At 50.1% G+C, this 18,462-nt stretch overlaps 2 annotated features.

Annotated features, from left to right (window-relative positions):
• Window positions 1,004-1,208: a silencer, noted in NCBI's record as "fragment chr1:30296971-30297175 (GRCh37/hg19 assembly coordinates)". NCBI's record gives its function as "represses an EF-1alpha promoter that drives an FKBP-Casp9 reporter gene in an ReSE screen in HepG2 liver carcinoma cells {active_cell/tissue: HepG2}" and the evidence as "EXISTENCE:reporter gene assay evidence [ECO:0000049][PMID:32094911]".
• Window positions 1,804-2,303: an enhancer, noted in NCBI's record as "H3K4me1 hESC enhancer chr1:30297771-30298270 (GRCh37/hg19 assembly coordinates)". NCBI's record gives its function as "activates a minimal SCP1, AML or CMV promoter by ChIP-STARR-seq in primed H9 embryonic stem cells {active_cell/tissue: H9 hESC(primed)}" and the evidence as "EXISTENCE:reporter gene assay evidence [ECO:0000049][PMID:30033119]".

The raw sequence follows: 18,462 nt of genomic DNA on the forward strand, positions 1-18,462 counted from the left end.
TCAAACAATCCTCCCACCTCAGCTTCTCAAGTAGCTGGAACTACAGTCATGCACCACATGCCAAGCTAATTTTTGTATTTTTTGTAGAGACGGATTTTTGTCATGTTGCTCAAGCTGATCTCCAACTCCTGGGCTCAAGTGATCAGACTGCCTTGGCCTCCCAAAGTGTTGGGATGACAGGCATGAGCCACCGCACACAGCCTTCTCTGTATATGTTGAATAACAGCTATTTATGAGATATGTCTGTTGCAAATATTCTTTCTCAATATATGGCTTGTCTTTTCATCCTCCCTGTATTCCATTTTTTAGAAATACGAAAATGCAAAAAAATCTTAAGGAAATGCAGAATTAATAGCTAATATATTCGAGGTGTCCACTCTATGTCAGGCCCTGGCTCAGAGCTTTGCAGGCATTGTCTCATTTAATCCTTCCAAGGACATTGTGAGGTGGGCGCTATTATGCTGTGCCTTTGAAAGACGAATAAGTGAGGCTCAGAGGGGTTGATCTCATGCCCAAGCTACCCTAGCTAGTCAGTAGCAGAGCTGGGACTGGAGATCAGGATGGCTGGGTGCTCCCAAAGTCCAGGTGTGCAAACTCCAGGTCCTGGAATCCTTGGGTTGGTCAACACACAGGCACAGAGCTGAGGCCCCAGAGCAGACGCAGGTCACCCTGGAGCAAGCTCACCCTCCTTCCTCTCCCATGCCTGCCACTCCTGGGCTCAATGCAGATGGCCATCTGCCTAACTTATGCCTTGCTCTGTTGAAATTCATGTCTTGGCACTCTTGACTGCTTCTGGAATTGGGGGAATACAAAGAAAACAAACACGATTTAATTTTTAAAATGACACCTTTTTCCTTCAGATGAAATTGTAGTTCTCTGAAGTGTAGTGCTTTATTTTCTTCACTTCAAAAGAATATGTCTTATTTTTTATGGTGAATCTTAGGAGACCCGTCCTGCAGTATGGTGGGAGGGGCCTGGGGTCCTTACTAGACCTGCCCCCTCCTGAGTTCTCCAGGCCATCAGTCCGACACGGCAGAGGGGTGTCTACTGAGGCACTGAGTGTGCCCAGCAGGAGGTGTCATCCTGCACCTGCTGGAGGGGCAGCTCCAGGAAACTAAAGGAGCCCTGGCCTCGAGTGGGAGAGCGAGGCTGAGATCTTGACTCAGTAGCTTCTTCTCTGCACTGCCTGTGATCCAGGCCCTGTGCTGCACCTTTGCTGTGTTAAATCATTTAATCCCCCTGCACGCTCTGTGGTGTAGGTGTCATTACTATCTCTGTTTTGCAGATAGGGAAACTGAGGTGGAATTTACTTGTCCAGGGCCAAATAGCTACTATGAATGGAGCAGGAGACGAAGCCCCAGGCTGGGTGCGGCTGAGGGCTCCTGCAGTGAAGATGAAATCGAGCCTCAGCGACTGACCATCCTGTGATCCAGCCTCAGCTCCCTCACTTGTAAAACTGAGAGGATGACACTTCCTTGGGGGATGGTGGACAGGGAAGATCAGCAGAGGGCCCCTGGGTGCCTACACCTGTCAGGGCCTGGGGGCTCCTAAGGGCAGCCTTGTCCAACCCCTGCTGTTCCTCTCAGGATAAGTGTCAGTGGCTTTAGTCAGCGCCTGGAGAGGCTGGGCGAGGTAGGCCACCCCAGGCCAGAGGCAGGGCAGGGGAGGGCAGAGTCTCCTGCTTACACCTCCCTCCCCTGAGACAGCCATAACGGCTAACTCAGAAACGGCCACACAACGTGCTGAGCCTCCGCGCAGCATACAGTGAGTGCTCAGTCAGGGTTGGCTATGTTTGCCCTTTGTGGAGGGCTTTCAATGTAAACTCTGCAAGAGGGTTTTGTGCTTTGTCTGTTGCTGGTGTGTTTCCACTGTGGATCCTTAGCCGGGCTCTGGCCCTTCCCTGCCTGGCTCAAGGAGGTGTCTGAAAATCCTGCCTGGAGCCTCCCTCCGGCTCTTGGCAGCGCAGGAAAGTCCATTGCTGGCGCTGGGGCTACAAAATGTGTCTGAGCTGCTGCCTCCTGTTCATTGTCACTGAGGCACTGGGGTTCGTCTCCATCATTCTCTCTCTCACACATAGTCACACACACAAACACATACACACAGGCACTCACACACACTCATGCACACACACACACCCACGCACACTCATACACATTCACAGACACACATACACATTCACACACACGCACACACACACGTACTCACACCCATGCGCACACATACATATTCACACACATGCACACACGCGCACTTGCACGCACACATTCACACACGCACACACATGCACTCACACACACCCATGCACACACACTCACACACATACACACAGACACACACTCATGGACACACACACAGCCATGCACACACTCACACATTCACACACATGTGTGCGCACACACGTGGACTCACACCCATGCACACACACGCATTCACATACATGCACACACAGACACACACATGCACTCACACTCACATTCACACCCATGCACACACACATACACACACACGCACAGACACACTACACATACATGTACTCACAACCCCCCATGCACACACACTCACATCACACACACACACGCACACAGAGACACACAGGCACTCAAACACCAATGCACACACACATACACACACAGGCACACCCATGGACACACACATACATGCACACACATACACACACAGGCACTCACACATGTGCACACACACTCGCGTATTCTCACACCTGCACATACATTCGCACACACAGGCACACAATTCACACACATATACATTCACATACACATGCACACACATTCACACACAGACACACATGCACACACATGCACACACGTATTCTCACACACATACACACACACTAAAATGTATAGACACAAGCACAGTCACACATACACTCAAACCAGACACACGCACAATACACTCGCTCTCACACCCACCCTGCAAACACATGCACATACAATTCCCCCCCACACACGCACATGCTCATATGCACACTCACACGCCCACCCCCCACATTCACACATACATACTAACACACAAATGTGCACTCACATTCACACAACATGCCCTCACACGTACACACACATGCACACTCACATTCACAACACACGTACACACTCTCTCACACACACACACGCACATGCAGCAGGATCTGAGCTTTTCCATCTCTCGAATGCCCCCACCCCTGCCCACGTGGTTTTCTGGCCTTGAGGCTGGGTAGAATCATTGGCCAGGAACCCAGGGTCTCCAGGAAGCACCTTCCTCCCTGCATGAGCCTCTCTCCTGGGTGATTCTTAGTGACCACTTGGGGCCCCCTTTCTTGAAAATGGGAGATGCTGCCCTTGGGGAACTAGGCACCTGTCCTCCCCCTCTTCAGCCCCTCTCACGCTGCAGAGACAGAGCACATTTCCAGGGTCTATCCTGTCAGTGGTTTTGATGTGTGAGGGGCACAGACCCCATATAGGGGCTGGACTCCAGTGGGAGACAGAAGGTGCTGGCAGGGAGGTGGAAAGCCCCACAGCTATTCATCCCTCCCTTCCACATGTGATTCCCCGAAGGGCTGTCTCAGCTGGGGAGATCACAACCTCCACAGGATGCCTGAGTTTCCCTTTCCCTGAGCTGTGTCCAATGTGATTTCTTTTTGTTCTGCACTCTCCATATTCTTCAAGGGCATCTGGTCTAGGCATCTCATTTCTGCCCTAAGGAATGAGGCTCAGAGAAGGGCAGTGACCTGCCCTAAGCCACACAGCACGTTGGGGCAGGTTCAGGACCATGGCATGGACCTCTTGACTCTGGCCTGAGTCTTTCCTTGACTCTGGCTGATTGTGAGAACCCAGCCAAAGAAAGTGTGCTCTGAGCTGCGTGGGCATGGGCACCCGGCATCAGTGCTGGGAGGGCCTCGGTGCCAAGCAGCCTCTTTTGTCTCAAGCCTGGCTTTTGTTTCTCTCTCTTAGGGATTCCAATTTGGGGAGAATTTTTTGTCTGTTTTTAATTCATCTTTCATTGTGTTTTCTTTTCGGGTAATTTGTAGCTTGCAGGCACCCAAATATGACATGAACATTAAAACGAAATGCAGTAAAATATAATTGAACATATTTCTTTCATGTCTGAGCAGTGGATTACTTTCCCTGATGTATCCCTATTTCCTCTTTGCTCCTTCCTCTTTTTGTCTGAGGTTTTCCTCGCCTCCCCGGAATCGCTGGGATTTGAATGGCTCCCTGGCCCCAGCTCAAAAGAGATCCACACACGATCCTGACACTACAGACCTCGTCCCTGTGATGGATAAATCGCGTTCCCAGGGCTGAGGGGAGGGAACTGTGAGTGTCTTCTTGGGCCTGGGAGGGGTTCCCACTGAAGATGGGAAGGGTGGGGATCCGTGAGTGGGACTGGGAGGGTTTCCCTGGGTGCACAGACCCTCCTGGGCACATGCTCCTGGTAGGTCCTTCTGTTGCTCTAGAGCTGAGGCTGCAGATTTGTGATCCTGACTTGCAGCCAAAACAGCTATCGGGGTCCCCAGTGAGTGGTGAATCAGCAGAGACTCCCCAGACACGGCCGTGGTCTCAGGTTCAGGTCAGGAGGGAAACGAGGCATTGGAGGAGGTGAGCAGGAAGGGTGCTGCTGCCTCAGCTTACCCACTATGTGGCCTTGGACCCATGACCCCACTTCCCTGGGCCTCAGTTTCCCTATCTATAGTATGGGCATATATAGTCACAGCACAAGGGATTACATGGAGAATTAAATGAAATGATGCCTGTAACATGCTCAGCACAGTGCCTGGTACACAGTGGGTCCTGAGTGAATGGAGGCAGGTAACAGTCATTCAACCATTCGCTCACCCACCCCATTGTGAGGCCTTCTATGTGCCAGGCAATGCACCAGGCATCAGGGAGAGAAGAATCAAACCTCCTATTGCCTGGGGTAGCTCATGGTCTAGTAGTGAGACCGGAACCAGCTCTGGGAGAGGGACATAGGGGTATTTGTGGGAACAGAGAAGGGACAAGCAAAGTCAGCATCTAGGGGAATCAGAGGAGGCCTCCTGGAGGAGGTGACGCTCAAGCTGAGCCTGGAAGGGGGCTTGAGTTCCAGGGGGCAGGGGTGGGGGGTGTTCCAGTTGAGGACAGCAGGGCAAAGGCAGGGAAGCATAAAGAGTGGGGGTGGAGGTTCCAGGGGTGGTTTGGCTGGGCCTGAAGCCTGGGGACTGTGGGGACAAGTGGAGGGAGGTGGGGCAGGGAAGGCAGGTGGGGCAAGACCACAGCGGACCTGAGTTTGGACTTTGTCAGGCTGGTGCTGGGAGCCATGGATGGTTGAGGGGCAGGGGAGGGCTGTGGTCAGAGCGTCAGGTCCTTCTGTAAACGGCAGACTTGAGGGAGAGCCACAAGTGAGACAAAGCGGCCTGTTACTCAGGCTCCACCCGGGGCTTCACAGAGTGAGTGTCATCTGTGTCCCTGATGCGGCCTCAGGGGCTTGTAGGTGGAGACGTGTCCCCAAGTCCCCAAGTCCCCCAGGCTGTGGCTCGGGGCCCCCGGCTCTGCCTCCTTTCATCACGTGTCACTGTGTTCGTTCTTTAGTCACCCTTCTCTGAACGGCACTCCTCCCTCCTTACCCTTCCCACCAGCGTTCACTGAGCTTCCGTGATGTGCTGGGCACCGTTCTAGGGGCCACGGCCATGAACAAACAGATGACAGTCCCGGCCCAGAGCTCACAGCTCCATGCGGGCCCAGATGGTCACCAAATAACTGGGGACCTCCCCTGGGATCAGTGCACCCAGGTCGAGGTTGCAGGGGCAAAGTTTGTGTTTTGGGAGGGCTGAATACCTGACTCAGAGCCTGTACACAGTAGGTGCAAAGCAAATGCTGATTCTTTCAGAGCCCAGCCCGCTTGCTCCTTTACCATGATCATGCGACACGGCTGAATCACTTTCCCCCTCTAAGGTGGAGACCGGCTTTGTTGACAAGTGGCCATTTGCCTCAAGGCCCCTTGGTGGACCCTCGCTGTCAGAAAGTGCAGCTCCAGTCAGAAGGTCCCTGGGCCTTTGGGCTGCCAGGCACAGGAGCACAGCAGGGCAGACCACAGGCCTCCCAAGGCTGCTGGGGGCACTGTGTGGGCCCTGGTTGCTCAGCCTCATCTCCTGAGAGCAGGTGTGTGAACCCAGGGCCTCCTGCTGGGCGGGCACTGTGTGGTGTCTTGGCTCCACAGACACAGAAGTGGGGGACCCTACGGCCTCCTCCTCTCCCCATGAGATTCTCAGTGACTGTACCAATGAGAATGGCAGGAGGGAGATTTCAGAGCCACCCGAAACCTGGCAACAGGTGTTTCTCTATTGTTTCTTTCCCTTCAAAGGACTTGACATGGGGATATAGCAGGAGCTACAGTCACAGGCAGACACCAACAGTGTTTCGGGCTAAAGACCAAGACTCTGAGTCCCTGGTTCCACCTTAGGACCTGGGACCTGCCTCTCTCCAGCAGGGACACCAGGCATGGCTGGAGGGCAACTGGGGGACAAACTCAGGGCCTGGTGGAACCTGGAGCAGGGCAAGCATGTGCTTTGAGGGAGAGCAGCAGACCCAGGCTTTAATGGGAGCCTTTCCGCACACAGACCTCAGTCTTCTCTGAGCCTTGTGTTCCCCGTCTGTGCAGTGGAGGGGGGCTATCAACAGGGCTGGTGAGCAGATGTAGGGTGACAGTGCTGGTGATGGGGCCAGGGACATAGCAGATGGGCAGCTAGAGCCTGTCTTTCCTTCCTCAAGTCTGCCTGGTGCGTCCTGGGTACTTAGGGACTCAAGCATCCTCAGTCACAGACGACAGTGAGGACGGAGCTCCTCAGTACAGGAACTGCAGGACCATCTATCCCTGAAGGCCATGGTGATGAAGTTGCTCTCTCTGAGGACACAGCCTTGTGGGCCTCGAAGGCTGTTCAGGTTTCTGGGGCCCCTGAGAAATGCAGCCATCCCTGGGGTCTCACCCCGAAGCCTCCATGAGCTTGCACATCGAGATGGAGGGGCAGGCATCCAGGAGCGAGGTGTAGGCAGAGATGGGGTGATGATGAGGGTGAGTGTAGCCGGGGTGGAGGAAGGGGGAAGAAGGCATTGGTGACAATAGCAGTAGCCAACACATCTCCACTTGCAGATGAGGGGACTGGGCACAGAGGGGTTGAGTGCATTGTCCATGGTCACACGTCACTGCTGTTCGAACCCAGGAGATCCAGCTGCACAGTCGGGCTCTCAACCATGAACCTGAGGAGGGAGAATGTGGGCGAGGAGCTCTGGGGAGCCCACAGCCAGCCTGGCACAGTGCACCATCCTGCCCCCATGTCCCCAGTGTGAGGTGACAAGCTGGGGCAGGGCTGTCATGTGTGGCACCGGTAATTGACAAGGGCAGAGCACTCAGATCTCTCTAAGGGGAAGGAGCTGCTCAAGGGCATAATCTCAGACTGGGGAGGCATTGATCTTGGCACAGCGAACACAGATCTATGTGTCAGGCCTATAAATCGCCCATTTAATGGGCCTGGAGATGCCATGGTGGGGAGGCTGGGAGGCGTTATAGTCCCACTTGGACTGTTGGCACGTTTGTGGTCAGAGGAAAGCTGACACTAGGGAGCATCTTAGAGGCATTTTTGCAAGTCAGGGATCGCACGTGGCCCTAGACCCTCTCCCCGGGGTCTGCAGGGTGGGCCTGGTGGGGAGGAAACAGCTGCCTCATGAGGTCCTACTGTCTGGTTTCCCTCATATCTGTGGGCTTCTGGACCTGCAGCTCCCCAGGGTGGCAAATGTCATCAAGTCTGTTATTTTTACAGAGGAGGAAATAGAAGTAAGTAACAAATGCCAAATCTTATGTTTGTCCAGTTTGGTAAACTCTTTACAGATATTTTAAAAGGAGGAAAAATGCTGTTTCTACAAACCCTCCCCCTGCTCCTCATGACTCCCAGGGAAGCAGAGAGGATGAGGGCTGTGCGGGTCTCAAACTGGCTCCCAAGCCCCTGCGTGCCGTGGCTGACTCCTCCCTCACACCGCCTTTTCCAGGTGCCACAAATGTGAGACATCGGTGGGAAAAAGAACAATAACAAACAGACTCATCCGTTTTGCCAAAAACTGGCTACCCTCCCTGGATAACCCACAATTATGTCAAGTGGTTAACAGAATTCTCATGATGGAATGGGTCTTATTTCCTACCTTGATCCTATTTGCTGGGAAAACGAATTCTGTCAAATCTCTTGAAGTCGACTGTCAAAGTAAAGCATTTTGGGGAAGACAGATCTCTCACTCTGATGGCAAAATTCATTTGATTTGATTCTTTAATCCAGTCTGCTTGCAAAACCCGGCACTGAAATTTTAAAGCCTGTTCTCTCTTCTCCCTGCTGCCCCCTCTCTTGGTGCCCTGTCCTCCATCTCTTAGAAAATAATGCAGCAAAGAATTGCAGCTGGTGTAATGATGACCATTTGGTTTCTCACGACTATTTTTTAGGGAGAAAATGACAGCGCACAAAGCCTTTTCTTTCAGTGTCTGTTTGGGGAAGGGAGAGAGATGCTCACTGTTAATGCCAGCAAGAACAAGAGAAAGGGCTCAAGGGGATAGGTGAGATTTTGCAGACCTGACATCTGCGGGAGCAGGAGGGACATCTGGGAGGATGGCAGTGCCTCCATCCATGCTGAAGCAGGGGGGCAGTGAGCGCTGATTTTTTTCTGATCCCTGGTTCCCATCCTGAACCTTCTTCTATGATTCATCTCCATGAACCTGTAAACTTCTGTTACATTTTACAAAGCACTTCTGCATCAATTACGTTCATTTAATCATTAATTGACTCCTTGGCTCATTCATGTATTCATGTTATGCAGCTCCTGGTAATTGAGGTTCGATGTGGCTTGTGACCCATGTGAAGCTCCGGGGTAACAGAGACTGACAAGACACAACCTTCCCCTGCAGAAGTCCAGGCTCTGATATAGGAGAGTGTGCACAGATAGCAGTGACCTGGCCTGTTGAGGATTATGAGGACATGAGTTGGGCACATAGTAGGTGCTTGCATCATGATGGATGCATTGGGTACCAAGTAGCAGAAACCAACAATAGTGGCTCAAGCAATTGAGATATGCTTGTGCACAAAAAGATGTCTGGTGGGAGATGGTTTCAGGGTTGTTGAGATGCCATTCCGTGTCTTCAGTGGTGGGGATGCACAATGGGCACACTGGTGACACCGTGTCTTGGTCGTGAATTGGCAACTCACATTCTTTGTGAAACAAGACACAATTATGCACAACATAAGCATATGCTAATGAGGGATAATTACACTCCACAGTTATAAATTTATCAAAATATGCAAAAACCATTTCTGACAATTATACACCTACAGGCACACCAGTTTAATAACTGCTCAAGGCTCCTTGCCAGCACCATAATGTGAGCTTGGGTGCCACGTGGGATTTGAAACCTGCAGCCCAGCCCTGCTGGGGAGGCCTCCGCTGTCGCTGCTGCCAGCCCCACTCAGACCTGACCCATTGCCACCCTTCTTAGCTTTCTTGGCCCTCCCAGCTCCCCAGAGAGACAGGCTTATCATCGGACCTCGTGGGGAGGGACTTGGGAGAGACCCTGAAGACCCTGGAGAGCAACAACTGCTCCTGGACGTCACCACCGGGAAAACGGAGGTGCAGTGATCCCAGGGTGAAGGTTTCAACTCCCATCTTTTCATCCAAGGCCACAGTCACTGGTGCTGCTTCCACTTAAGCTTCACTTACTCTTCATTCATTTGTTCATCCATTCAGCAGTTTTAATTGTGCATTGATTCTGAGCCAAGACTTGTTCTAGGTGCTGAGGATGTAGCAGAGACCAAACTGCCCAGTCTTGCTGGCACGGGGCCTGCCATCAGGGTTGCTTTAATGGTGATTCCAAGGGCCAGACAGAGGCCTGGAAGTTTCGGAGGAGTCCTTTTAGCCCTGACATTGTATTTCAGTCTGTCCTTGCATATGCAGCCATCACTTATAATGAGGCACATGGCACCCTGCCATGCACGGTCCCCATCAGGCCATCAAGTACTCCCCTGCACCCATGAAGGAAGACACAGTTCTCCCACTCTTGAGATGGGGTACAAAGTGGTCCCAGAGCTAATGAGCAGCGGAACTAAGATTGAAATCCAGGCCTCTCCCCATGGCCCCATCTCATACCACCCCCGTCTCTGTGCCCAAGATGCTGTTGTGCTGTTCCAGGGTCCTGTGACATTTAGAATCTAAGAATCAGGTGGTGTCTCATTCTTACGTGAGACTGTTCTACTGCTCTGTAACCCTTACGCCATGATTTTGGCAATTATCTTAAGCTTTGCTGGGCATGGTGGTATGCACCTGTGGTCCCATATTCTCAGGAGGCTGAGGTGGGAGGATTGCTTGAGTCCAGGAGGTTGAGGCTGCAGTGAGCTATGATCATGAAACTATACTCCAGCCAGGGTAACAGAGTGAGACTCTGTCTTAAAAAAAATAAGACAAAAAAGATACCTGTCCCCAGAATGCAAGATAGGCCCTCCAGCTTGAGCCCTCCCATTTCCCTTTGAGATCACGTCCACATCATCTTCAGCTGCTCCCATCTCCGGGGCCCTCTCTAAATGTGAGTTTATGGCTGTCACATAATGTTATCAGCCATGACAATGGCAATTAGAACAATTATGTTGAACCATAAACTCCAGCTGGGTTTAGGATCCACAGTGAGTCACAGCCTCTCAAGCTGTGGAGGCCGCCTGTCACCCCAGACATGTCTGATGGGTTCTACCCAGCACACAGGACTGGCTTAGTTATAAAGTTACAAAGTGACAGGTTCCGGGCTCATGCCGGCAGAAGGCACCGACCCTCTGGAGCAGTGCTGCTCTGTGCCACCTGGGCATTGCAGAGAGGCCACCTGGGCTGTTTGGGTTCCAGGCTCCAGTCTCCCATTCCTACTCTGAGCACTCGTGTTTTCTCTCCTCTTTGCTCTCAGGACAGCATCTGAGTGCAAATTCCTGGGGGTCTCTCTTGGAGGGTGTTGTTGCATTTTGATTCTACACCCTGATGGGGGAGGCCTGGTTCTCGTTCAAGGCCTCTGAGCCCTGCCACCGATGCTGAGAGGCAGTGTGGTCCATTGCTTAGGCCACAGGCTTTGGGTGACTGTGATTTCCAGCCAGGACTCTCCTTCTTATTGGCTGTGAGACCTCAGGAAAGTTGCCTAACCTCTCTGAGCCTCATCATTTTCCCCCTCTGTGAAATGGGCACAGTAATACTGATGACATCAAGTGTTGTAAGCACTGGATGAAATGAAGCAACTGGAGGCAGATTTCTGGGTTCAAATGACACTTCCGGGACCCTCTTGGAGGTGAGAGTCTGGGCAGAATGAAGGGTCTTGACTCCTCCTCTGTACCACGGTAAGTAACTGTGGCAGCCTCTCTGCATAGGATATTGCAGGGACCCCACGACCTAATGTGAGTTAAAGGTCTGGCACACAATGAGCCCTTAAGGCACGTGAACTGGCATTGTTACTATTATTCTGCCTGCAGGCAAACACCTTGCCTTATTTTTGTGCATCAAGCACCTGATGCAGGGTCTGGGCATAGAGCAGGAAGAGCACAGACCCAGGAGCAGATTGCCCAGGTTTGAAGTCCAGCTCCACCACTTCTGAGCTGTGTGACCTTGGACAAGTTTCTAAACCTCTCTGAACTTAAGTATCTTTATCTTTAAAATGGGGGAGGGAGTGGGCAATAATTAATTTAATTATTTGAAATAATTAAATGAACGAATGCATGAAAAGTGCTTAGCAGAGTGTCTGGCACACAGTAAGTGCTAAACCAGTGTTAGCTTTACTTTAGTTTCCACGAGAATGTCACACAAAAGGGGCCTCTAATAATCTCCTTTTCTGCCACCACTGCACTTAGAGATGAAGAAACTGAGGCCAAGGGACACTAAATTAAATGTTTGAGAACAAGACAGTATATGGCCGTGCTAAATTATGCAGAGCGGACAACTAGAGAACAAAACGATCTATAATAAAGGGCTAATTGGGTGGGACCGATGCTAAGTGGACCAGGAGTCTGATGAGGGATAGAAAAATGCACCCTGGGACGAGGATGGCCTTGGCCAGGGCCCAGGTATTCTTGTTAATAACATTGAGTTTTCTTTTAAAATAATAATTCACACTTACTGTAAAACACTTGGAAAGCACAGGATATAGAAAAAATCGTGTATAAATCACTGGCATCCCACTTCCCAAAGACACTAGCTGTTAAAGTATTGATGCTGTTAAAGTATTGATGATTTCCCATCGCTGGGACTGTGTTCTGCGCACTTCCTGTTTATCCTATTGGCCGGGGAGGAATCCTCCGACTTAAACAGTATGAAACAGCTAAATACACAACACCTGACACTGGACAGATGCAATTGATGAGTTTATTAGTCAACACACAGCTCGAGGGAGGAGGATGCTGCATTTCATGTATGGCCACATGAAACCTGCACTCAAAAGCAGAGAGGACCAGCAGGGGCCATGGGAGAAAGGCTTTGTCATAACAAGAGGGTGAGGTGCCTGCAGAAGGATGTAATTGGTTTGAATAACTCCACATTTGGCAGAGAGCTGAAGCCCATTAGGTGGGGACCAGGTGGAGCGCAGCTGGCCTGGCTGATAGAGGAAGTAGCTGGGTGGGGGGACTTTCCTGTTGGGTGGGGGCATACCTGGTGGGAGCCCAGGAACTCACAATTAGGCCTTTGGGGTCCTGTGAGGCTCAAAATTGTTATGGCAGCAGATGAAATTTTGGAGCTTACAAGACAGACTGTCAGGACAAGCTAGGATGAGATTTGGCAACGCCACCTCACCCTAAAACCACAAAGATGATTTTTCACCCTTATTGCATGTCCACTGTGGCCAGCAGGGAGGGCTGCTGCTGTTTGGCTCAGCACCGGCACCCGGGGACTGTTGCTGATGGAGGCTCCACCGTCTGAGGATGTCAACGTCTCTGTGTGTGCTTCCACGGTCACTGCAGCAGGGCAGAAAGGACATGAGCACGGGCACTGGATCTCAAATGCTCCCACCTAGAAGGGACACTCACTACCTCTATGCACATTTCATTCACCAGTGCCAATCTCAGAGCACCTAATGGGAAGGCCATGGGGAGCCGTCATTCTCCTGAGGGCCCAGGAGCAGAGGTGGACATCTGTGACCCTAGCTGTGTCCTCTTCATGGAGCAGATGCAGATTTGGGGATTTCTTACCTGACACTCCAGTCTGACCAGTTTCCATCTCATTATATACTCTTGGAAATCGTCCATTTGGTTGATGTTCTGTAATTTATTGAAGTAGACTCACATTTTAAAAAACCTGGATAATTTCCTTTTTTTTTTTTAACTCTCCTGAATAATGTTGCTATGGATTCTATTCTTTAATTTTTTTCCTATAAGGAGATACTCAGTAAAATGGTATGATGTTTTAAAAACTAGTAATGCCTCATATTTATAGAGTGGATAACCCTTAAGTCCCTTTGGTTCAACCTTAACATAAACCCAGATTCCAAATCTCCTCACCCTCTCCAGGCTCCCACCCTGATCCCACGGTCATCATGTTTGGACTGGTGCAGTAGCCTCCTGGCAGGCCCATGGCTCCACTTACTCTCCATGCAGCAGCCAGTGTGACCCTGTGACACTCAGGGCTGAGCTGTCTCTGGTCTGCTTCTAAAGTCCCAGGCTCCTGCCTCACTGGGCACATCCAAGATGACAGTGTCCCCAGGCCCCCAGAGTCTCCAGCCCCCTCCCCCGTTGGCCTACTTCATCTCCTCTTCTACTCCCCTCCAGCCCCTCCAGCTCCTTCCTGAACCTGGGACCCTTGCAGCTCCTAGCTACAGGCTCTGGCCCTGCCCTTGCATCAGCTGGAACTTCTCCCATGTCTGTCCTGTTCCCTCCCACCTCCACCCCCTTCGTCCTTGCCTCAATGTCACCTGCTCTGAGAGCCCTCCCTGACCCCAATTTACAAGTGTGACCTCCAGCACTCCCTGCTCCCTCCCCTGCTTCCTTTTCCTCTAGCGCTCTTATGCACCCTGCAGTCCCATCTGATGCTCTGCATATGTCTCCTTCTAGATCTGAGCTCCCCACACAGAAGCCTTAATTGGTTCTGGGCTTTCCCCTGCGCTGCCTGGGACAGCGAATGCCCAGTAGGCGCCCAGTGAGTATTTGCTGAGAAAACAATGACTTCAGCCCTGGCGATGTCCTACGGGGAAGATGTTGTCCTAAACAAGGGGCTGTCTCATTATTTCTCAAGGCAGCCCAAGGAAGCAGGTTCTAGGGATACCCCTGTGTTTCACCTGAGCGCACAGACCTGGCCTGGCCTGGCCTGGCTCGGCTCACTGTGATGCCCAGCTGCACCCAGGTAAGTGGGGGTGGGCTTGGAATTCTCACCTGGTCTTGCCCTCATAGAGGTGTGTGGCTGCTCCAGAGTGTTCCAGGGAGGGCAAGGTGAGGCTGGGGAGCCATGCCTCCTCCCCACACCATTTGCCAGTGCCGGGAATCTTGCTAATTTGATGAGGAACTGCTGTTTCATTTGCACATCACAACTGGAGCCAGCAGGAGCATCCCTCACAGAAGTTCTGCTGGCTAAAAGAGGGAGTCATTCTGACCGCATCTCCCCCCAGCCCCAGGGTATTTGGAACAAATTTGGTCCTGGGCCTTACATGTCCAAGACCTGCATCTCTGCTCAGGGCCCCAAGTGGGAGGTTCCTCTGAACATGCCTGATTTCACGCTAAACAGTCCTCGAGCTTTTGTTGGCATTGGCCCCATTTTCATGGACAGGGTTTTTGGGGGCCTAGGGCCTTATGGCAGGTGGGAAAATAATAATAGGAAAAATCCCTCATATCACAGGGGACAGCAAGGATTGTCCATTATGAAGTGAATGGAACTACTCTTAGCTAAAAATAATTTGGCTACATGACTCGTTCTCATCTTCTCCTTGTAGTCACCAGCATGCACTTAGGCCTCCTTTCCTCTCCTTTCCTCTACCTGATTCCCTCTCACCCTCACATGATGCCCTTTTTTTGGTACCATTATTATTATTATTATTATTATTATTATTATTATTATTGCTTAACTAGGAGACAACATTTTTTGTACACAATTGTTATAAACATCCTCCACGTTAAGATAGGGGAAAAGCAAAGCAGAGCTAATAGTGTACCTCCATCTGCAGGGACCAAATAAACCACTTTTCAAATTGCAAAAAGGATTAGAAACTAGAGTTCCATTAATGTCAGTTACAGCTGGAGACAGAGGGAGGAGTGGCCAGACATGGGGCCCACCCCACTGCCCCCCAGCTGTCCTTGCTCCTCTCCAGCCCCATATTCCCCAGTCTCCCGTCTCCTCCCCAAACCCATCCTTCACACTGAACCTTAGAAAGTTAGTAGTCATAATAGTAATGCTTATTGACAACAGTGTATGTTCCAGCTGCTGAGCTGAGTACTTTATATGAAATAACATTTCCATTTACCCAAAATATCACGTATGTATTTTCCATCATTTCCCTATTCACTGGACAGTTACCAAACCCTATCATAGTTGTGGCAGCATTCAGGAAAGCAAACTAGTATTTCTTGAACGATTATTATATGCCAGTCACCATTATCTCAGCTTATCCCCACAATGATTTCTTTCTTATAAAGAAGTCAAGGCTCATGGCTCTGGATTAAAATTACACAGCACTTGCTCTGGGTCTCTTGGTCATCCACTGAGGGTCTAATAGACAATGACTTGTCTCTCCTATTCACCTGTCTCTCCAGTAAGGAGCTCCCCATCTGATCAGGGGGCAATATTATTATTGTTACTACTGCTGACGTCATCATAGTAACCAAACTGCAGCAACAACAGCCACAGCTACACTTCCTTGCAGAGTCCACCATGTGATTTGAGCTATGCTAAGCATCTACTCCCAAGATGACCTTTAATACACAAGGCAGGAGTTGGTCCTGGTGACAGAAACAGATAAGTGAGGCTAAGGACTTGCCCAGGATACCAGTGAGTCAGTGCCCAAACCAAGACATAAACCCAGGACTGGTCCATCACCTTGGCTGGCTTTTACCACAAGGAAGTGTGATTTCAAGAGAGGAGAGAGGGCCATGTCTGCAAGGTGAGCGGAGAAGCTGAGAAAATCTGGCTGCAGAAGGAAGCATGAAACAGAAGTGCAGAGAATCCAAGATGAAACCCATAAGCGGGTGGACAGGCAGGGTTGCCTGGGTCCCTGTTTCACGCTGCGTCAGACCCAGGTCCCTTAAGTTCCTTAGGACACCCTCTAGAGCTAGTACCCTCCCATATCTCATTTTTGTTTGCTTAAACTAGACTGAATGTTTTCCTGTTATTTACAAGGAACTCTAATTCCATGCCCCCCCCCAAAAAAACAAAAAAAAAACCCCTGTTCATTAAAAAATAAAATCTGCATTAAAAAAGCTCCATTTCTAATACTGAATGTCTTTTTCTCGGAGAGCCCTCATAAATAACGGAAAGGAGGTTTTTGCAAACCTTTATGGAAATTAAACCCACAATTCGGGCGCACGCTTGTTTAACAAGTGATAATTAACTGCTGACAATATAATTTCAGCTTGGAAGAAAACGTGTTTTTCATTAAAAAGTAATCAAAGAGATCCTTGCATTGGGGAGTTGGGTCTCCTCTGCAGGAGCTCAGCTCCTCTGCTGACAGAGGTTCTGGTTGGCACTGAGTATCTGCTGCTCCCTGCCAGAAATCGGGCATGACCCCAGGACACTAGGATTTCAGACCCCTGGGCTTTCCATGACCCATAAAATCCAGGGCAATTTCCAGAAGCCGACTCGGCCACCCCTTTCTCACTAAGGGCCTCCTCTGGGCTTCTCTCCCTGAGAAGGTTCCTGGAGCTGGCTGGTGGGGGCTTAGTGCTGACCCCAGCTTCAGGGAAAGAACAAATACTCCATCTCTGCAGCCTGTATCATGCTCAAGGATCTTCAGGGAGTGTACCTATCCTTCAACTTCACAGAGGAGGAAATCGAGGCTTACAGATTTGGAGTTGCTGGTTGAAGGCCACACACACAGCTGATGAGGGCCCAACTGGAGAGAGGTGTGAATTCTGACCATCTGATTCCCACATCACACGACCTCCACTCCATTCCCCAACTCCTTTTCTCTAATGAACTCCTCTGTTCTGGCTTCAATTTCCTCATCTGTAAAATGAAGATAGTAGTAGTATTCTCCTTGTGAGGCTGTTTGAGGATGAAATAAATGTGTATATATATATATATCAAACACTTATAATAGTGACTGACACATAGCAAGCCCTTCATAAGTGTTATCTACAATGTTTATTGGTTATTACTATTAATGCTAATACTTTTTTCCTCCAACCTGTGAACCAGTTGGCTCTGCCCCTTTGATCATCTCTGTATCCTCTTTGGGACTCTATCCAGATCTCCAGCATCCATTTATGAGGGAATGTGATACTGAATGTCGTGTGAGGAGTTGCTTCCCGGGTCCTGAAGATCAGAGTCCTCTGAGGACAGACATGCCCATATTCTCCTGGCTGCTGATACAAAAAAACTCCACTTGTCCAACCTGTGCTAACCTGTAACCAACTATATCTGTTGGAATATTTTTGCCCCCATTTTCATCCTCTAGGTCTTCCTAGGAGTCTCCAGAATTTACACCCCCTCCCATATACCAAAGAAAACTCTAAGATAAGTACATTTAAAATAAAGACATAAAAGAAATAATCAAAATCCTAAAAATAAAACCAGATATTATTTTAAAAGAGCAGGAATATTGAGGACCAAATGTATGATCTTTGGAATGAAAACTCAGTGAATGAGTACATGATTAAAGTAGCATATTAGGCAAAGCTGAGAAACAAAAATAAAATCCTAAGCACCCCAACAGACTAAAAAGACCTCCTCTTCACCAAGGGAACCCCAGAGAAACCTTGAAAACTGAGTTCCTGGCCATAACAGGACAGGAGGCTGGACACACCTTGTTATACCCTTTCCTTGCTAATTGCCATTAGTCTGTCTTCCCTAAGGGTTAAGGAGCAGTCAGCCCTTTCAAAAGACTCATGCCACTGCTGATTTCAGCCAATCACCTTATGCTTCTCCTCCGTTTTGTGCTTTTGACACAGCAACTGACCAGGATTCCTTCCTGATAAGAGGCCACTGACCATGCAGTGGTTCTGGCCAGGCTACAGAGGATGTGCAGTGAGGGTTTTGTGTCTTCTGCTTCATCGTTTGACACCAGAGGGCCAAAAACTCTGCCCTTGGATTATGCTAGCACTGCCATTTTTTGAACACGTGAACCACAAAGAGGCATAAAGTTCAGTTGTGTGTGCACACGTTTCTCCTTTCATAAATATTCATGACTCTTCCTATAGCTTATTAAATATGTATACCTGGCCAACCCATTCAGCAAACATTCCTGTTTATCCTTCCCTCCCTCAAAGTTTTAGCTTTTGGCTTCTGCCAGAGGCTCTGCTTCTCAGTCTGT

Source organism: Homo sapiens, chromosome 1 (genome assembly GCF_000001405.40).
Source record: "Homo sapiens chromosome 1, GRCh38.p14 Primary Assembly".
NCBI classification, from domain to species: domain Eukaryota; kingdom Metazoa; phylum Chordata; class Mammalia; order Primates; family Hominidae; genus Homo; species Homo sapiens.